The sequence below is a fragment of the Homo sapiens genome, chromosome 9 (genome assembly GCF_000001405.40).
Source record: "Homo sapiens chromosome 9, GRCh38.p14 Primary Assembly".
Classification (NCBI taxonomy): Eukaryota; Metazoa; Chordata; class Mammalia; order Primates; family Hominidae; genus Homo; species Homo sapiens.
In genome coordinates, this window is record NC_000009.12 from 27,504,943 (window position 1) to 27,526,771 (window position 21,829).

The window sequence follows — 21,829 nt, forward strand, 5'->3', positions numbered from 1 at the left end:
CTCTGACCTCTGCTTCTGTCATTGCATCTCCTCAGACTCTCGCTTGCCTGCCTCCTTCTCATAAGGACCCTGTGGCTACACTTGGCCCACCCTGATAATCCAGAACAATCACCCATCTCAATATCTTTAGTGTAATCGCATACACAAAATTTCTTTTGGCATGTAAGATAACATATTCACAGGCTTTATGGATGAGAATGTGGACATCTTTGGGGAGCTATTATTTTACCTACCATACCGCATCATGTTTTTGCAAATGACTGGTGTTCTCCTGGACAATGTCCTGCATTCAGCTGCTAGAATGACAGGGCTGCCTGCAAACATCTGTGTCCGTACCTAGACCTCCCCGGGAAAGGGCAAGAGTGAAGGAATGACGGCCTGGTGTTCCTGCCCCAAATCAGCTTTTCCCAAAGGGCTGCTTAAGACTCTAGTCCCTAGATACATTCTACATTAAAACCTACCACTTTCCCGTGAATGTGGGAAGTACTGCATTCACACTCTCCTTCTTGGACACTCACAATTCATATTAGCATAACAAAGATCCTGAGATGTTCTGCAGTAAAGAAATCTCTTTGACTTGCTTAACTCTGAGTTTTCTAAATGTATTTTCACATAAAATAAATTTAGGAAGAAGTTGGGAATGCTGTACTAGCTTATATTCCAACTCTGGCCAATGCTGTGCAAACAGTTCTGCATGAAGTCCACAGACCTCTCAGGCCCTCTTGAAAGCTTAATGCATGAAGCTGTCTTACCAGAATTATATTAATTCTCCTGGAGTGGTTTCTTCTCTTGCACCAGCCCTTGGATGCACTTTGGCAAACCCTGAAACTGCCTATTGACTCACACGTGCAAAGTATATGAAGTGACACATTCTTCAGGTGTCTCAGCTCTGCCTGGAAACTCATTTCCCGTAGAGCCATTTTTTCCCCCTCTCTCTTCCTTCTCTTTGACTCTGGCTCTCAAAACTAAGGGGAAAAAAATGACCAGGAAATAACGTGTCACCAATTACACGCATGGGCTTTTACCTTTCTCTCTCTTAGCTGTCAAATCAAATGCCTGGGCAGATTGCCACATGGAAACTAAAACTCTTTTTCATTTAGCAAATGAGGTGCTGTTATCAAAACAGAGAAGCATTGCCTTATTGCTGGTGTGTTCCAGGCTGCAGCTCTGGATCGCTACTGCAGTGGGATGGTTGACTCACAAGTTTTTCTTGGGAACCACTGGAAGTCTTGGAGGAACCACAGAATCTCAAACAGAAGGAAACTTAGAGATCACTCATTTAAATTTTCTTCTGGAATCCTAGACTCTTTATTTAATATCCCCAATTAAGAGGCTTTTAATTCATGTTTAACATATTTTACAACCATCATCTATCTTTCAACTACTACTCACTTGAACAAAACTTCCATCCTAGAGAACCAGGTAATTTGCCAAGCCCATACCAGGCTATGTACCTCTTGCCTGTGTCTGAAATGTCTCCTCTCATCTACCCCCATTTTTCATCATCACAATAGCCAATATTTATTGTATATGTTCATATTCTGTATGGTAGGCACTGTGCCAGACCCTTTAATTATGTCAACTTATTTAATCTTTTTTTTTTTTTTGAGACGGAGTCTCACTCTGTCACCCAGGCTGGAGTGCAGTGGCTTGATCTCAGCTCACTGCAACTTCCGCCTCCTGGATTTAAGCAATTCTCTGCCTCAGCCTCCCAAGTAGCTGGGATTACAGGCACCCGCCACCACGCCCGGCTAATTTTTTGTAATTTTAGTAGAGACGGGGTTTCACCGTGTTAGCCAGGATGGTCTCGATCTCCTGACCTCGTGATCCGCCAGCCTCGGCCTCCCAAAGTGCTGGGATTACAGGCGTGAGCCACCACACCCCGGCTAATTTTTTTTTTTTTTTTTTTTTGTATTTTTAGTAGAGACGGGGTTTCACCATCTTGGCCAGGATGGTCTTGAACTCCTGATCTCATGATCCACCTGCCTTGGCCTCGCAAAGTGCTGGGATTACAGGGATGAGCCACTGCGCCCAGCCCAACTTATTTAATCTTGACCATAGTCTTATGATGTAGTATTGCTGCTTTATAGACAAACAAGCAAAATTATTTACTGAGTTTTACTGTGACTGATACCATTTGCTGTGTGCCACATTTAAGACACTGTGCTAAGCATTTTACATTTTTATCATTGTGTCTATGAGTCAATGTTATGATTCCTCTTTTGCTGATATAGAAACAGAAGCTTCCATATGATGAGAAATTCATCCGTGGTCATACAGCTAGTAAGTGGCAGGGCTGGGATCCAAGTGCACAAGTATCTTCTATTCATACTTCACTCCTACCTTCTTGTTTTCTTTCCAGCCAGTGGGATCCTCCGTGTATCTCAGAATTCATAGAGCACTTACTTGTCAGCCCAGTCTTGTTATTGTCATATTGTGCACAGTAGCTACTTTCTCCTCACTGGACATCTCTTACGGTACTTTGCATCCCTTACCATGGTGCTTACAATGCGCACTCCCCAAATGTCAACTGGTCTAGAACAAGTCTTCTTACAGCAACCAGGACTGGCATGGACATTTTTCTGATGAGGGATTTCCAGGTCTCAGTTGATTTCTTGGTTATTTCAGGATGCAACTATACAATGGCATTCAGTACATGGAATTTAATGCAATACTTTGTCCCTTGATGCTTGTTTTAACAGCTACAGAAGGAGAGAGTGACTGTTAGGCTGAGTCCCCTCAGACCTACTGGGGTGGCTAAGTCGAAAGAATCTCTAGGAGTCAGTTATATCTCAACATGCAGCAAAATGCCCAGCACAAAGCAGGTGCTCAAAAAATATCTTTTGAAGAATGACCATTTACAAATAAAGTCATGTTCTACAGACTGTTTAAAAACGATGATCTCCTTTCATCTCTGAAGTGATTCTTAGAAATCATTCATCCAGAAGGTTTAAGTTCTTCAAGCGATTAAAGCTGGTAATTACAATAATTCTATTATTTTTCTGTTGAAATGGATTTAGCACACAGATGAGTTTTTGTTTATCTGTTTTGTTTTTAAAGATTTCAAGGTAACTGGTTAGGAGGTATAGAAGAGGGTACCAATAGTGAATTGCTAAATTGCTGCAACCAGGAGTTCTGCAGCATTCTGGGGGACCAAAGGAATTCACTTGGGAAATACGACTTTCTCTGTGATACGTACTCAGGATATCAAAATCCTATGGACAAGTTCCTGAAGAAAGTATTCCACTGATATGAGAATAATGCCTTTGGGCTAAAACATACTGTCTTTTGACTGAGTTTCTTGAAATCTCTGTACTAAATACTGATACTCCACAAATAATAAACCATAACAAGATCTAAACTGAAAAGGTTTTATAAAGTATCACATTAAAAAAACGCAAGGGTTGTTCAGAGTCTTTTTCATCCATTAAGACAGAAGCTTCTCCAGAAGCTGAGGAATCCACGTGTAGGGACCATTCAAGAAGTCCTGGCAGGATTTGGAGAAGAGTGAAGAGGCAGTTTCCCTGGGAACATGGCTGAAGCACTTCCAGAAAAAATAAACTCAGGGGGCCTACATCACCAAAGGCAAGAAATTAAAACTAATTTTTTTCATTTTGAAGGCTATTTTTCTAAAACTAAATAAAATAAATTGAAGTATATTAAAATATTAACTCACACACAAAAAAACGAGTGAGATAAGGTGTCAGATACCCCTAATAAATGCAAGTGGGAAATCAAAGGGAGTCTCAGACAGGCAGGCAAAAGACTATGCTGACTTTAAATTAAGTTTGTCCCCAGACAGCGATTTGTAGACAGAGAAACAACATTAATGTTATGCTTAAAACAATACAGTAAATCACCCAGTCTAAATATTGAAGAAAATAGGGCCCATTGAGGCTGTTTTCCAAGGTCAAACACTTCATTAGAATAGAACCAAGGTCTCCTAAAATGCTAATCCTTCCACTACTCCTGGGAAAGCAAACAGCTCCAGTTCCAGTTGATCTGTCTGGAACAACTGGAGAAAGCAAGGTATGGGCAGAGCAAGACTGAGTGCTGTCGTCAGTTGGCGATGTCTGCCGTGGCATTATGGAAAGAATGATCATCCACATGCCACAGATCTGCCACTCTCCAGTGTACCATGCCACCGTCTAAGTCTACAGAAAAGCCAGCAAAATTGTTGAGTGACTAATACAGATGCTTTTAGTTTTCTTAATGCTCATTATTCACATGTCATCCCATAAAAATACATAAATATACACATACATTAAGAGATACTGTAACTTTCATAGTTCCAATGCCAAGCCTTAGTATCAACACATATTTGCTATAGGAAGGAAGGGAGGAAGGAAGACAGGGAGAGAGAGGGAGGGAGAGAAGAGAAGGAGGGAAGGAAATTCCCCAAATACTTCAAGTTCCCCAAATTTAAAGAAGCATGAAATGAAATTATCAGCCCAACAAATTAATTAATTAGTTTATTTATTTATTTTTACTTGAGACGGAGTCTTACTCTGTTGCCCAGGCTTGAGGGCAGAGGTGCGATCTCGGCTCACTTCAACCTCCGCCTCCTGGGTTCAAGCGATCCTCCCACCTCAGCCTCCCGAGTAGCTGGAATTACAGGCATGCACCACCATGCCTGGCTAATTTTTGTATTTTCAGTAGAGATGAGTTTTCACCATGTTGTCCAGGTTGGTCTCGAACTCCTGACCTCAAGTGCTCCACCTGCCTCAGCCTCCCAAAGTGCTGAGATTACAGGAGTGAGCCACCATGCCTGGCCTGTTTTTTGTTTTTTTGGAGGTTTTTTGAGAGGAGTCTCACTCTGTCACCCAGGCTGGAGTGCAGTGGCACAATCCCGGCTCACTGCAACCTCCACCTCCTGGGTTCAAGCGATCCTCCTGCCTCAGGCCCCTGAGTAGCTGGGATTACAGGCGCGCAGCACCGCGTCCGGCTAATTTTTGTATTTTTAGTAGAGATGGGGTTTCACCATATTGCCCAGGCTGGTCTCGAAGTCCTGACCTCAGATGATCCACCCACCTCGCTCTCCTAAAGTGCTGGGATTATAGGCATGAGCCACTGCACCCAGCCTCCAACAAATTTATGTAACAGATTTGAGTAACACTATGTACTTAACTAATAACTTTCTGTTCAATGGATTTGAACACATCTTTCTCCAGTTGTTCCAACTTTCAGTGACTCATTTGATGAAAATCAAGAAGCTTATGTGGTAATAGAAAAAGAGAAAGGGGGAAGACAACAAAAATAAAGAGGACAAAAGGCATTTTACAATATAAAACATTTGAGTTTTTCGTATTTCTGTTTTGTTTAAAATCAGAGAAAACACTGAAATTATGATGTGATCATTGTTGCTGCTTATATTACCTAACCAAGAGTAACTGTGCAATCTTCCAGTCTGTAGTCCTCCCTGTATTCCATCTTAATTTGGATATTGGATTTCTTTTCTAACATTGTCTTCTTTGTATGCTCTATTTAGATCAGTGATACACAAAGTATGTTCCCCAAAACATTAATTCCTCAGGATATTAGTAAGTGTGATCTTTTTAAAAGTATGTAGTCAAATAAGTTTATTATATTATAGGTTAGACCAGTTTAACAGGTGCCTTGCTGCAAGATATTGTAGGCTTTTCATATACTAACATATGCTGCAAGTCTAAATATATATGGTGTTCTAAATTTCTTTAGCTACAAAATCTTTCTTTTGTGGAGCTTTTAGCCAAATTAGTGTTTCATGGAGCCAATGTTGAGCAAATGGATTTGAATACTGCTTCATCTCAAGATGCTGTACTGAAAATCAGTCCATCCTCTCTTTTAATCACATGATGCTCTGGTGCTACCCACAGCCTGTCTCTCCACCAGGATCCACCAAGTTCCACACAGTGGGGGTCAGGAGATACTCCCTGAAGTCTACTGCAGAGACCTTGGCAGGTCCCTGGCTCTTGCCTCTTCTCACAGGGGCATTAGTGCCTTTTCCTCCTTTTGCCACAGAAGTCAGAAATGAATTCCAGCCACACCCTGGGATCATATTTGCCAGGTCCCATAAGTCAGGTCAAGCGGCAGGGACTCATAAACAGTTTCCAGCAGCTAAACTGACCGCATGGAGAGGGAAAGAATCTCACTCTCCACAGGCAGAAGAAGGGACCCAAGTGTGTTTAACTCATTTTTGTCAGAAGCCAGGAATCTTTAAAAGTCTTTCTCAAAAAAGCTATTTTTGAGAGGTTAAGGTAGTGATGCTATTAGGTAAAACATTTTCATCTTTGACAAAAAAAAAAAGAAAGAAAGAAAAACATGAGACACTCAGAACCCTTTATTTTATACTTAAATAACAGTTTAATAGAAAATCAGGCAGCCTTTAGTTCGGTGTGAACTTTGCCAGGTTATGTACTTTTTGCAGCCTTGGTTCTTCAGCCATAAAATGGGGATAAAATTGTCCATCCTGCAGCATTCCGTCAGTGATAAAGTGAAATAATGTATTCACCGGTAACACTGTGCTCAATGCATGCTTCATGCCCAGTTCAGCATCAGCTGCGGATGTTGGCTCCTGTGAGAAAGAAGCTCCATGGGCTCTGCTTTTTAAAGAAAGCAAATGACGGTACCATCCTACCAAATAGATTTCTTCCAAGGAAAGTATGTTTTTTTTAAAAAAAATAGCAAATTAATCATTTAGCTTCTTATTTATGTAGCCTTGAAAAGAATTTAAATCCTTCATTTCAACAGTACTTCTACTCTTTCAGAAAAGAAATCACTAGAAAGCTGCCTATGGCTGACAACTCCAATCCTCTCCAGAAGGATTTTTTTTCTTTTAATCTCTATTGGGCATCTATAATGTGCCCCATTATGCCAGCCCAACCCCCTGATCTAACTTATACCAGTCTCAATGCATTTTGATTGCTAGATTGTTTTTCTAAATAGATCAGAGATGGGCTAACTGTTCACCAAACTATTCCCTCTCCTTCCTGGGCACCTGACTACATTTCCTGGCATCCCTCGCACTTAGCTGTGGCCATGTGACTAAGTTCCAGCCAATGGAATGGGACTGACAGTGTTGTGTGTCCCTCTAAGCCTAACCATATAACCTTCCCATGCACACTCCTCCATGCTCCTGCCCCTTTGCTCCAGCCTGACAAAGATAAATCCTGCAAGCCTGATAAAGGAAACCACATGGAAGATGGCGGGGCCACAAGAGGGAAAGGGTCTATGTCCCTGACCACTGCTTATAAGAGACCCAACTGCAGCTCAAGTACCCTGGTTTTGAGCTGGGTACACATGAGGAATGCTTCTATCATGTTTAGGCCATCCTATAATTTTGGATGTTTTTTACAGTAGCTGGTGTCTGAAGCATCTGGAAGTCCTGAGATTTTTGCAGAACATTATGAGATTATTTATAAAAATAATAAATCGAATTACTGTGTGCCAAGTCCGAGACTCAGGCACTAACTCATAAAATAACTAAATAATCTAAAACTAAGGTATCATTATAAACTAGGTTCTACTCTAAGTAAACCATCAGAGATGCCAAAAGTTTAATAAAAATATTGCTGAAGGTTGAATTTTCTATGTTTCAACCTTAAAGTATAGAAAATTCATTTCATTTATTTAGTTTTTCTGTGACACAAGAAAGGCTAGCATTGCTTGACTCCAGTAGCAGGGACATCTTGATTCACCCTGTTAAACACTACTGTTTCATGGGTGTATAGTTTGTGTCGGAGAATTGGTGCAGATAGACATTTCTGAGTTTTTGTTTTTAAATCAAATTAGAATTGGCATTGTCAGCTCTAGGCTCTCATCTACATTTAGTAAATAATAGATTAGGATCACTTTTTTTCACTTCACAATTATATGATTATATTCCATTATGATTTGACTGTAGTTATCCATGGTTTAAATCAATCATGAAAAACATTATTTTATCTAAATATCATAATGTATAGGAATATGCATTTGTTCTATGTACACACAGGAAAGTACATCAGGGTATACTCTAAGAAATTTAAGCCTCAGGCCAAACCTGGGAAATTCAAGCCTCAACCTCAACCTAAGACCAATTAAGTAAATTATTTATATCATTGGCTAAAGTATAAGGGAGCTAACCTAGTTTAAGGCCATCCAGTGAAAGATCAAATGCTAAATGAGATTATTTACTGATTACCAAAAAACTATCATGTTAATTCAGTAAAGATCTCATAATCAAATACATTATCAATGGTACTTCTGGAAAACTGCCTTTGGTGATCACAGATATTAACCTGAACCCAAATATACCCTAAGTAACGTACTAACAACCTACTTCATACCAGTCTTATTTTTTCCATCTCTACTGCTCCCACCTTAATCTAGGTCACCATGACTCTCCCCAGGCCTACTGAAATATCTGCCCTCAACCTGGCCTCCTTGCTTCTACTCTAGCCCCTTCTCCAAACTGTACCCCTACAAGGCCCCCAAAGGGATCTCCTTCAAGCACACATCATATCATACCACTCTCTTGTTTGAAACTCTTTCATACGTTTTAACTGGTCTTAGAATAAAACTGGAACTCTATCATGGCTTGCTGTGCCCTGCCAGTCCCAACCTATCCTAGTACCAACCTCTCCATTCCCTTCACTCCAGCCCAACTAATCTCCTTTGTATCCCTTAAATATCCCGAGCTCTTCCCATCAGGGCCTGTGAACTTGCTGTTCCCTCTGTCCAAAATGCTCCCTTCCAGCTTTGTACACAGTTGACTGCTCTTCACCCTTCAGGTCTTAGCTCATCCATCACCTCCCCGAGTTACCTTCTTGCCCTGTTTATTTCCTTCATAGCACTTATAAAGCCTGGTAATTTTGTTATTGTTTGAAGACTGGGACACACTATGAGGACATGAAGTTTCCCTATTCTTTTTTACTACCTGTGTCAGGCATCATCTCCTTGGAGATGAAAGGATGGATAAACAGATGGATGGATGGATGGATGGATGGATGGATGGATGGATGGATGGTGGGTGGGTGGATGGATGGAATAAACATGCAGTAGATACTTTCTGAATTATTTGACCCAACAACTGGAACCATCCATGAGAAACCGTATTATCACATTTAGCAATGAGTGATTCTGGCAGGGATGTATATAGGGCAATCCCAGTTTCTCCTGAAGTACATCTCTCCTGGGAATATAAAGAAGCTTTAACTCTGGGACCATTCATATGGCTCTTTCCACATGGTGAGTTCTACTCTTAAAGGAAAAATACTCAATTATGCAAAATTGATAATTCCAAGAGGATAGCCCAGTATTTAATTAGCTATAATATTTGGAGGCATAAGGCTATCCTGGTTTTTAATTTTAAGACATCCAATTTATGAAGAAGCTCTTTCAGAGAAAATAAAGTCAACTCAACGCAGAATAAGACCACAAGCTCAAAAAAAAAAAAAAAAAAAAAAAGACCACAAGTTGCTTCCTTAGATTCCTATATCTGGAACTATTCCTCTAGAGGAGATAGAGCAAATCAAACCTCTGACAATGTGGAAATCCAGCATGCACTTCATTTTTGTTTATGACACTGGGTCAATCTGACAGAATAGTTTTGTTTTCCCAGTTCTGACTGAATTAAAGAGAGTTGTGTCTACAGATTATTTTCCCAGAAGTTCCTCTGTATATATAATAGGAAATGCAGGATCAGATCTAGGCAAGGGCTCTTTAAATGTCAGGGCAGTCTTTCCACATTGAACACCCCTGAGAATGCCAACATGTGTGACCATGCTTTTCCCCATTTTGGGCCATGATGAAGAAATGCTATCCCAAGCCAGCAGAGCAGCTGAACTCTTTTCTGTAGCTCAACATGAGAAAAACCAACAACCTCTGCAGCATGTCTGCCAAGGAACTGCATGCCTGTTGGCAAGGAGACAGCAGCCTACACAGAGGGAAGTTGTAAGAATTAGCCCTTCCATGCATGTGCTAGTGGTAACTCCTGTAAAGAAGTTACTAGGGTCTTCGCTCAGGACATCTCACGGTGCTCCCTCCTTGAAGGCCCACAGGAGAAATTCCTCCCAGAACTCAGTACCAAGAGAAGCTTTCCTTCTCCTGAAGACTTAGTTTTGTTGTTGCTTCATTTGGCCTTTTGGATGCTATAAATACTTTAACAGATTATATTATCTCTTTGCTTGTAGGAAGCCCTGAGATTTGCAACCCTCTACACTATCGACATTGGACATTATGGCATGCATTCTTAACATTTGAACTGTGCCCCGACTTCATCTTGCTTTTTTACTGTTGTTTTCCCTCAATTCTGATTTCGTTAACTAATCTTTGTTCTCTTGTATCATATATATTTCTATAAATGGTTTCAAATTATTTTGAGAATGAAAATGGCTATTAATGCATAAATACACACAGTGGATTTTAACCCAAACCCTTTACGACACTAGTCCTGTAAAAAGACAATGTGGCCTCAGACAGACCTGGGCTGGAATCCTGATTCTGTGGATTTCTAGCTCTGTGACGTTGGTTAAGTCGCTCAATAGTTCCCAGTTTCCATTTCCTCCTCTTTAAACTGAGGCTAGTATCATGTACATTGCATAGTAACTGTGAGAATTAAAGAGAATGTATCTAGAGCATTGGCACTTAATAATTGTTAAATTAAACTTATTCTTTATTATTATTAATAGCTATACAGATTGTTACCAAAGAATACTTAAAGACAATGTCTGGCTTATCATGTTGACAGGCTTATGAGCACTAACACTATCTACTCATATACCACATTTCTCTCTAACAAAGACCTACAGTTAAACACTTCCATACTAGCTCAATGTCTCCAAGCCATTCTTTCCAACATGCTAGATTTGTTGCAAGATCCTCTCCCCATTAAGGCTCCCTGTACCATATCCCCTGTCGTGGATTGAACTGTGTCTCCCCCAAAAATATACTGAAGTTCTAATCCCCAATACCTATAATGTGGCCTTATTTGGAAACAAAAGACTTTGCAAATGTAATCAAATTAAGAAGATGTCATACTGGATTAGGGTAGGTACTAAGTGTAACAAGTAGTGTGCTGATAAGAAGGCCATTGAAGGGCCACGTGAAGGGACACACAGATGCATGAAAAATGTCATGTAACTATGGAGGCAGAGATGATGCATCTAGAAACCAAAGAACACTAAGTACTACCAGCAAGTACCAGAAGCTAAAAGAGGCAAGGAAGGATTCTTGTTTAGAGGCTTTGGCAGAAGCATTATCATGATGGCACTCTGATTTTGGACTTCCAGACTCTAGGACTATGAGAGAATAAATTTCCATTGTTCTAAGCCACCTAAGTTATGGTGATTTGTTATGGCAACCCTAGGAAATGAATACATCCCAAAACTCCTACAGCCCCAAGTGGCAGAAGTAAAGAAACCAGGCAAACTTGCAGTCCAAGTGATGACTGCCAAGAACTCCACACATACATGCCTGGCAGTAAGATGTATTTCATGGGAGGCATATACTAAAATAGCCCAAAGAGTTTGACCATACTCTTCAATGAATTAATTCTTCTTTCTGAGCTTAAAAGAATCACATCAACAGGAGGGCATTAGGCCTAGATCAACAATGGCAAATAGAGCTTAACTGAGAATAGCTGGATTACAGTGTTATGTTCAAAATTCTGTGGAGTCATCTGGGCAAAGATGCAGAGACAAAACAAACAAACAAACAAAACGAAAAAAACAGAAAAAACTAATTATCCTTATGCCTGTGACCATCCTCTCCAGTTTCCTCTTCTGCTGCCCACTGTAACATAGCATATTCTTAGGGTTCTGACACAGACCCACTTCATTCCATTCCCCATATATTCTCTTTGGACAGACCCACTGATTCTTATAGTCTTACCACTTACAGCTTCTGTGGATACCTTCCAATCTATCTCTCCTGGCAGCATCAGTCTTCTGCTCTTGTCTAGGCCCATATATCCAACTGCTGGATAGACATCTCCACTTAGCTATCTCAGACAATTCAAAGCAACTTGTCTATAACAGAACTCACCAGTTGCTCCCCTAAGCCTGCTCCTCCTCCCACAGGCTATCTCTCAGCTGGTGGCACGATCATATACCTAGCTAGAAAACTGAGTTTCTCCCTAGTCTATTTCCTCCTTCTCACCCCCGCCTCCCATTCCAAATCAATTTCCAAAAGTTGCCAACCTTAACTTCTAAGTAATTGTCTTCTTCTTGATACCTGCTATCACTCTCCTAATTCAAACTCTCATCAACTCTTGCCTTTTAAGATTAAGACTGGGTATCACTGCCTCCAGGAACCTCTGCAAGGGACTGTATTTGTCTTGTTTTCCCTTGTATTCTTGGAATTTGGCATTGTGTCTAACACTGTAGGCAACAGATGATGATGATAACTATCATTTATTGTCCACATTCTATATTTACACAGTTATACAATTCTATCAAGAGGTAGAATTGGCTGGGTGTGGTGGCTCACACCTGTAATTCCAGCACTTTGGGAGGCCGAGGTAGATTACCTGAGATCAGGAGTTTGAGACCAGCCTGGCCAACATGGTGAAACCCAGTCTCTACTAAAAATACAAAAATTAGCCGGGCGTAGTGGCACATGCCTGTAATCCCAGCTACTCAGGAGGCTGAGGCAGGAGAATTGCTTGAGCCCGGGAGACGGAGGTTGCAGTGAGCAGAGATCATGCCACTGCACTCCAGCCTGGCCGACAGAGCGAGACTCTGTCTCAAAAAAAAAAAAAAAAAAAAAAAAAGAGGTAGAATTACTGAACTGATCTGATATTCAATTTAGATTAAAATATACTCATAAGATAAAATACTGAAATGCATATCTGTTCATTCAATAAATATTTATTGAGTGTACGCTGTGTGCTAAACACCGGGGATAAAATGGAAAACAAAGAAAACAAACAAGTAAGTGAGTATATAAATAACTTAATTTCAGACATGGGAAAAAGTCTAGCATCTCTCAGGAAACCCATTCCAAGCTTCTTCTCAGGCTACCTGCGGGGAGGGATGTTGGCAGGAAGAAAAGAGACCCCTCCCCACTTAGTCCACCCCCTTGCTCTAGAAGATTATTCCTAGATACCACCCCCAACCTCAGGCATTGTTCAGACACTTAAGAAATCCTTAAATTTGCAGCATGTGAATCCTCTGCCAGGCTAAGTAAGGCCAACTTAAATTTTTCTATCATAATACCTTTCTTTGTTCTTCAGAAATGTCAAGAAACCTTATGACCACATGCAAGCTGATGGTAATTAAAAGAAGACACTGTCTTCATCTCCACAACGCCAACTCCTTTTAAAATGTTTACCCAAGACAAGAGGACATTTCTGTCCATCACCCACTGCACGCTCATCATTTCTTCCCAATTACAGCCACTCTTGGATGTGATCTAGGAAAAAAATCCACATCTATTCACTGAGTAAAGAGAAGGATTATTCTGGTAGGTGACATCCATTTTTCATGCCTGCCATCTGAAATTCTTACTAACATCCTCAGAAGTAAAAGCCCCATTCGGGCTCAAAAGGACCCAGGGAAATCAACACTGAAATGAGGATATGGATGGAGGCTGTTCTGGTCATCCTAAAACAGAGAGTAGGTTTTACTGATGGTACACGTTTATTTACTGAGATACTTATTCCATCATGCTACATTTCTTTTTATCAGGGATTCTTTTCCAACAGCTCAAATTATTTCTGGGTGGGAAGTTACTACGTGCATAATCTTCAGTTGGGCTGGAAAAGACAACTGGATATTAGTTTGTCCAAAGAGCCCCTCTAAGGTTGATAAAATTAAATGACAGCTACAGGGAGCATCATGTACAAAAAAGCAGCAAAAGGGGGTGGTGGAGAGGAATGGTCTTAGAACTTCTCAGCAGTTTTGCCTATACAGGTTATTACTGAATCAGATTTGAGAACTATAAGAAGTCACACGGCAGTTTTTGATTAAACTAACATTTACTGTGTAAGAAGTGCCACAGATACAAAACTAAGAAAGACACATTTTTCTTCTGGAGGGGAAGACATATGAATCAACCAAGAAATACAAAACTGTGTGACATCACTAGAGTAGAGGTACGAAAGTGCTCATGATCTGACCAGCCTCGGGGAATCCCAAGGAGAATGCACCAGAAGTAGTATAGGACATTAAATGGACACCTAAGTTGCCATCTACCACTCTGTTAATTCCCTTAATTTTCCCCGACATCTGACTTTGTCCTCTCCATATCCCTACACAAAAAGAACCAAACCACCAAATAACTTTACTGTCATTAAGACATGGCTTCATTATCATCATTCAGTCACCCAACAAATAATTATTGAGCACCTACTATGGGCCAGGTGCTGTGATAGCCTGGCTCTCTCACAGGCGAGGTCTGGTGAGCCATTTATCCTGGACCTCATATCCATAAAGGGCTGATAATATAGATTTTTAATATCATCTCCAAATGATATCCTATATACAGTCACACAGATAAACTTCTAGGATTCAACCTCAAAGCATATCACAATTTTTATAATCCTGTATTGCCAATTTTAAAAATATACACCCAAGTCCTCCTACTGCCACCCATGGATATGATCCAGGTCTCTCCTATTCCCTATGAGCATTTAAGAGAAAGCAAACAAGCCAGTTGTTATACCTTCCCTCACAGAACTTATTGCTTAGTAGAGAGAAAGGTATCAAACAGGACACATACCAAACTGATAACTGTAGTTGCCGCAGGGGAGGAGAGGAGCATGACATGAGGCTGAGCTGTTAAGCAAAGCTTTCGCTTGCCCTGAAGTGTTTGAATTTTTACCATATGCACATATCCACAGTATTCCCTGAATAGTCATTATCAGTTTCTCTATCAGGGTCATCATTAAGAGAAGAGCCAAGAAAGGGACCAGAAGACAAGCTGGCCCCAAATGAGGCTGACCCCAATGCTGAGGCAGTGAGAATGAGTGAAACATCTAGTTGCCAGAGGTGACTGCGTTTGTCTGAGGATAAAATAGCTGCACACAACCTTGTGATGACCATCCTCTGCATGCCCCATGGGAAGTACCGCTAGGCCTGGACACAAGGCTTCCTTTTCCTGGGCTCTCTACTGGGCTCAATCGCCTAATGACCCTACAAATGGAACAATGTACTTTCAAGAATTGAGTAATATGGATGATCAATGTGTTACTCTCGTCCTGATTCGAAACTTGTCTTTTCATGGAGAGCAATAAATCTTATCAGTAGATGCCAAATGCCCCTCAGCTGAATCACAGCTATATCGTCTAGACTGAAATGTCTCATCTCCATTTTGCCAAATTCTGCCTTGTCCATTACAGTTAATCTCATAATCCACATAGACACCACACAATTCCATAAACAACAGAGCAGCCCCTGCTAACCAGCCCTCCCTCTGAGGAAAGCCTGAACATGTATAAACGATCTCAAGCCATGCCAGGGAAATAAGAACAGATATCATGGAAACCATGTTAGCATGTCAGTGCATAGCCTACTGATGACAAACTCAGCAGTTATGCCAGACGAATTTAGGAGTCAAAATGTTTCCTTACACTGTCATTGTTTTCAATTTTCTGATTATATTTTTGAGATACATTCAATACCTCTGGCTTTACAGAACAGAGGTATGACCAGTGACTGATCATTCAATAATGCTTCTAATCAGAGTGATTATATGTGAGTGTACAAGTGTGTGTATGTTTGTGTGTGTCAGTATTATTTTGTTTTAGTATGACAGGTGACCTCTTTGCCATGTACACTTGTTACGGGTATGTGCACATGTAAAGCCAGCATAGAGAAATGCAATCAAATGTAACTCTGCAGGAGGAGGAAGAGTAGCAGAGGAATGGCTCTCTGCAGGGGATGTCACGTCTGAGCTCTGCTGTGAGAGGTCAGTGGGAGCTTGCATGGTGGATAGGGTTGTCAGATAAAATAAAGACACCCAGTTAAATCTGAATTTCAGAAAAACAATGAATGACTTTTTAGTAGGTATGTCCCAAATATTGCATGAGTGTTCTATATTTTTATCTGCTAAGACAGGCAATCCTAATGGTGGGAGAAGGACAGATGTGTATGCCAACCATCTTTCCTTCTTTGTCATGAATATTGTCAATATCAGCATCTATTAACGTTTACAGAACATGGGGAATGGAGTCCTTGCTCTTGGGGAACCCTAAGAATTACTCCTCCTGCCTAAAACACTCAGAACATGCCTGCTTCTTCAACCACAGCCTCCTCGAGATCATGCACTACAACTTATTCCTCCTTCTTCAGGACCTAGGCCAGTGACGGAAATGTCATAAACACAAAAGTACATTTTTAGATAAATGAGAATATAATATGGAATTATAGTAAAGGGAGGAAATTTGGGGTGAGAGGGCTAAAGATGACAAAACTGTGCATGGCTGAAAATACAGGCAACTTCAAGACGAATGACAATAGCCAAATGTGCAGCCATCTCCAACACCTATGAGCAGAACTGAACAATCTTTTAGCTTGGTTAGTATCATTGAACTGTCTCAAACTAGTGAAAAGTATACTAAGCACCACGGGCAATTTCAGGGAAGAGGGGAATGCACTAAATTGGGAGACCAACACTTATACAATTATCTGTTTTTTAAAACCCATGGTTAAGGAGGCCAAGGCATCGTAAAAGCAAAATGGGGAACAAGCAGTTCTAATTGGAACAGTTCAAGAAGTTTTAGGTAGAGAAGTTATATGAGGTATGTAAAAAGCCATGGCCCTCAGAGAGGCTTTGCACTTTATAGAATGTGTGTGTGTGTGTGTGTGTAATTATAAGTATATATACATGTATAAACATGGCTGCAAGAATAGTATATTCCCACATACTGTGTGTTATTCATATCAACTGATTGGAACTGAGCCTTAGGGAGAATCCACATTTTCTTTCAAAATACTCTAGAGTAGAAATGTTTAAACAAATAAAATAGTATTGATCCCATTTCAGATGTATAATAATTTTTCCTTTTTTAATGTATCTTCTTTTAAAAACAGCCTTCTCTTATTAAATAAGAAATACTTGGCCAGGTACAGTGGCTCACGCCTGTAATCCCAGCACTTTGGGAGGCCGAGGCGGTCGGATCATGAGGTCAGGAGATCGAGACCGTCGTCGCCAACATGGTGAAACCCTGTCTCTACTAAAATACAAAAAAATTAACGAGACATGGTGACGCGTGCCTGTAATCCCAGCTACTTGTGAGGCTGAGGCAGGAGAATCGCTTGAACCCGGGAGGCGGAGGTTGCAGTGAGCCGAGATCGCGCCACTGCACTCCAGCCTGGAGACAGAGCAAGACCCCGTCTCACAAAAAAAAAAAAAAAAAAAAAAAAGAAAAGAAAGAAAGAAAGAAAAAGAAATACTTGCTCACCACAGAAAACTTAAAAAATCCAGGTAAATAAAAATATAAAAATAAAAACCACCCATTATTCTTCCAGTTAGAGATAGTGACTCAAAATTTTTGCATATATATCAAGACATTTTTTCATATATATATATATATATATATATATGCATATGTCTATATTTAACAAAAGTGGTATCAGCCTCTATATGCAAATATAAGCTTGTTTTTTAAACTACAAAGTGTATCTATCCAAGTGACCAAATATATTCCCACACATAATTTTTAGTGCTTACATATATGTTTTCTACTGATGGCTTACTTAACTAAGTATTTATTGCTGAACATTAAAATTGTTTTCCATTTTTTGCTGTGACAAACTTCCTTACAGCTAAGTCTTTAAGGGCATCATCATTATTTCTGGGGAATCAGTTCCTAGAGGATCAATCGCTGAGTCAAATATTATGTACATTTTTAAGGCTTTTGATCCATATCACCACTTTCCTCTCTAGGAAGGTTGTGTCAATTTATAACGCTATATAAAAGGGCTTGTTTTCTTAATGTTTTCCAAATTTGGTCAGCCCAAGAAATCTGCCCATGAAATAAGAATTTATGTAGATGGAACAAATAGAATAATATATATATATATATTTTTTTCCGTAAGAAACCTTTCCTAAAAGCCAGGATTTTAAGAAATCCCACTTACCCACAATTAGCCTTTGGTGCAGTCAACTGATTTAGACAAGAACTTTTTAAGCCAACTTTTCAATCAAAGTCTGCCATGTTTGTGGAACTGTGGCTATTTACCATTTTACAATGACTTAATTGCAAATTAATGTATATCTTTTTTTTCTTGAGAAGATATAATAAGCTACCTTTTTAAAATGACAATCCATTTTATTTTCCTGGAGAAAAGAATCCATTTGCTTTAACCATAATCAGAGGAAGGTTATTTGGTCAAACAAAGTAAAAACCATAAACAATAGATAGCCATCATTACCACAGTAACATTGGTCCAGCTAGGAATTCACTTAGCTAAATGGGTGACTTCCTACTCACATACCTCCTCAGTGCACAACAAACACAGGAGCAAACAAAAGCCTTTACAGAATCCAGAACCACCAGGCAAGAAGATATAATAATCAAGCAATCAAGCAAAAGTTTAAAAATACTGCCTAAACTGCACCAAAAAAAAAAAAGAAAAGAAAAGAAAAGAAAATGATACTACAAGAGAGAAGTTAATGAGGCAGAAAGATATTCTCAAATATAAAACCCCCTCCAGGACTTTTAAGAAAGGTATCAGAGGCATATGGAAGGCTAAGTCCAGGATGGATTTAACTGAAGAAAAGGATATTTAGAGATTATCAACATTTTCTAATGCAACAGAAAACCAAGCCAACTTAGTCTCCTACTTAGTAAGTGCCAGCTCTATTCTTCATCTTTTTGGAGATCCAGAAAAATCAAAAAGAGAAAATATCCAAATATAGAAGCTTAATTTAACAAAATTGGAAAAACCTAAACTATACTGTGCTCTGGTGACCTAGCAATCAAATAATCACAGTCATTTGGTCAATGTCTATGATTAACTCAATGAGACAGGATGTTTGGCTATAGCACCAGGTACAAAAAATATATTTTCATGAAGGATCACTCCCTCTTATGTAATAGATTTGGGTGAGTGAGTGAGTGAGTGAGTGCATGGACTCACAGCTTTTGGCTTTCTGAAATACCCTGCATCAGTCTTGTTATGATGATTCCTTAGTGCTGGGATGGATCATCCAGGCATTTAAGGTAACACGATGGTAATTCTTTGCTCATTTTTCAGGGAAAAAAAAAAGTTATCACTTCCAAAGTCGGCATAGTCACCCGAAGTAAAAAAAAAAAAAAAAAAAAAGCCTCAGAGGCAAAGGAAAGGGGCCGCAACCTTGGTTAACTGTGAAATGACGAATGAGAAAACTCCTCCTGCTGAAGATATTCAGGTATATAAAGGCACATGAAGGAAAACTCAAAACATCATTGTCATATACACATCTTCTGGATTTTTTAGCTTGCAAAAAAAATGAGCACCAAACCTGATATGATTCAAAAGTGTTTGTGGCTTGAGATCCTTATGGGTATATTCATTGCTGGCACCCTATCCCTGGACTGTAACTTACTGAACGTTCACCTGAGAAGAGTCACCTGGCAAAATCTGAGACATCTGAGTAGTATGAGCAATTCATTTCCTGTAGAATGTCTACGAGAAAACATAGCTTTTGAGTTGCCCCAAGAGTTTCTGCAATACACCCAACCTATGAAGAGGGACATCAAGAAGGCCTTCTATGAAATGTCCCTACAGGCCTTCAACATCTTCAGCCAACACACCTTCAAATATTGGAAAGAGAGACACCTCAAACAAATCCAAATAGGACTTGATCAGCAAGCAGAGTACCTGAACCAATGCTTGGAGGAAGACAAGAATGAAAATGAAGACATGAAAGAAATGAAAGAGAATGAGATGAAACCCTCAGAAGCCAGGGTCCCCCAGCTGAGCAGCCTGGAACTGAGGAGATATTTCCACAGGATAGACAATTTCCTGAAAGAAAAGAAATACAGTGACTGTGCCTGGGAGATTGTCCGAGTGGAAATCAGAAGATGTTTGTATTACTTTTACAAATTTACAGCTCTATTCAGGAGGAAATAAGGTATATTTTTGGAATTAAAATTCCTTTTCCCTCCGAAATCTCTTTCTCCTTCTCCTCCTCCAACTTCTTTTTAAGGATTGTTGTGCTGTCCTGTAAGCCTGTCCTCAGTTGGACTGGTAGCCTCGGAACATCAGGGACACTCACCTCTCTAAGGAGAGGTAATGCCAACCATCCTCAGGGTGACCAAGAGTCTCCTTAGAAAGTCTTTAAGACATTTTTAAAGGAATAAGATTCCCTCTCCGTCTTCTTCTATTCTCTCTTGCTCTTTTCTGTGGCCATTTTGAAAGAGCTTTGCTATATATACCACCTGTGGACTTCACCAAGACAATGGCTAGAGGATAGGGAGCAGAGAATGTTGCAAAATGGTAACATTTCAATGACTTAACTGTTTTGCTGCCAAGGTTGCTTATCCTATGAAAATTCAGCACATTAAAAGAGCTTATACATGCTCCCTAGAGTCAATACTCTTGCATTTTCCCCCTCCTGCTCGGGGGGAAAAAGGTTGACATTTCTGGCCCATTTCCTTCTCAGCTTGGTTTGTTTGAATTGATGCTTGTGGAATAGTATTTCATTACTTTAAGAGTGAAGATCCATAGTGAAATTGGATGGATGGTTGAATTAGACGACCATTAAGCTTTCATTTAACCTTTGAGAGTCTGTGATTCTAATGTAGCACACTCTTCATTCCTGATGTATATTGTTTGATTCCTACATCTAAAGGCATGGAAAATGCTGTGGAAAAGTATGGTACAGAATCTGTCTTTTACTGTTTTTCATGTGCCTGAAATAAAATGTCCAGAGTCATAATATGGAACAATTTTACATTAGATTTTCCTAGTTAGAAGACTACATTCTGTGAGTTAATTTAACTAGCTATTCCAATAATACATAATACTTTAATATCTTTTATCTTTTTAAAAGTTACTTTGCAGCCAGACTACCTAGATTATTTACTTTTCTAGCACGGCCCTTCATCTATATTAATTCACCACCTAGCTGACATGGATTTTCTCTTCCTCTCGCACCTCTATCTACCCCATTTCAGAATCATCTACCTTCAAGCAAGAATTAACAGAGATTGTGGCTACGCAAATGCACCAAAAAAGGGTGAAATATATCTGAAATGTACCTGGTTCTGCCCTTGGAAGCCATTTCCTGCTCATGCCACTAACAGCATGCTGCCAAACTGTTCAGATTCAAGATTATTCCAAGCGCAGGGCCCAAATGTTATAGCCAAAGAAAGTCTTATGATAAAAGTGAGGCAAATTTCAGCCAAGAAGTTAGAAGAGATGTTTAAAAGAACAAGAACAAATTGTGGATCATGGTATATGCAGGCTATCAGCAGAAGGATCAGACAATAAAATGAGTTAGTGCAAACCATTTAGTAAAAATAACTATCAGCAGAGTTGTTCCAGATTAAAAATAGTACTACAAGCTTGTAAAGGAGTTAGGACATGCAAGCTACTGAGCATAAAATATATACTTGCTATTTTTCATGACTTTCTCTAATAAAGTCTTTGCCTGTTCTCTCTAATAACTTTACTGGAATGAGGTCAATTACTTTAGTCATTTATGGTTGCAGTCCTGCCAAGTGTTTGCTATCCTGGAGGAAAGAGAATGGCTGAGAAAGCCGAGCTGAGCTTTCAGTTAATATACATTTTCTGAATGTGTGGCAGGGGTAGAAGTCAGAACAGTATGCTTTTTTAAAGATCACATCTAATCAAAAGAAAAAGGATAACATCTCCACTGGAAAAAAGGCAAGGGCACAAACTGACATCATCACAAAGGAAGAAATACTACAGACAATGTG

At 39.8% G+C, this 21,829-nt stretch overlaps 2 protein-coding genes across 2 annotated transcripts in view; one reads left to right on the forward strand and one right to left on the reverse strand.

Annotated features, from left to right (window-relative positions):
* Positions 1-21,829, reverse strand: part of MOB3B (MOB kinase activator 3B) — a 204,606-nt gene that overhangs the window by 179,734 nt on the left and 3,043 nt on the right. The gene's annotated exons all lie outside the window — the stretch shown is intronic.
* IFNK (interferon kappa) lies at positions 19,348-21,556 on the forward strand. The gene is made up of 2 exons (NM_020124.3): positions 19,348-20,019; positions 21,065-21,556. The coding sequence occupies exon 1, from the start codon at positions 19,395-19,397 to the stop codon at positions 20,016-20,018; it is 624 nt and encodes a 207-aa protein (NP_064509.2). The 5' UTR covers positions 19,348-19,394; the 3' UTR covers position 20,019; positions 21,065-21,556.

What these genes read in the sequence shown, in the direction of transcription:
- IFNK (NM_020124.3), top strand. Translation starts at nt 19,395, where the DNA reads ATGAGCACCAAACCTGATATGATTCAAAAGTGTTTGTGGCTTGAGATC.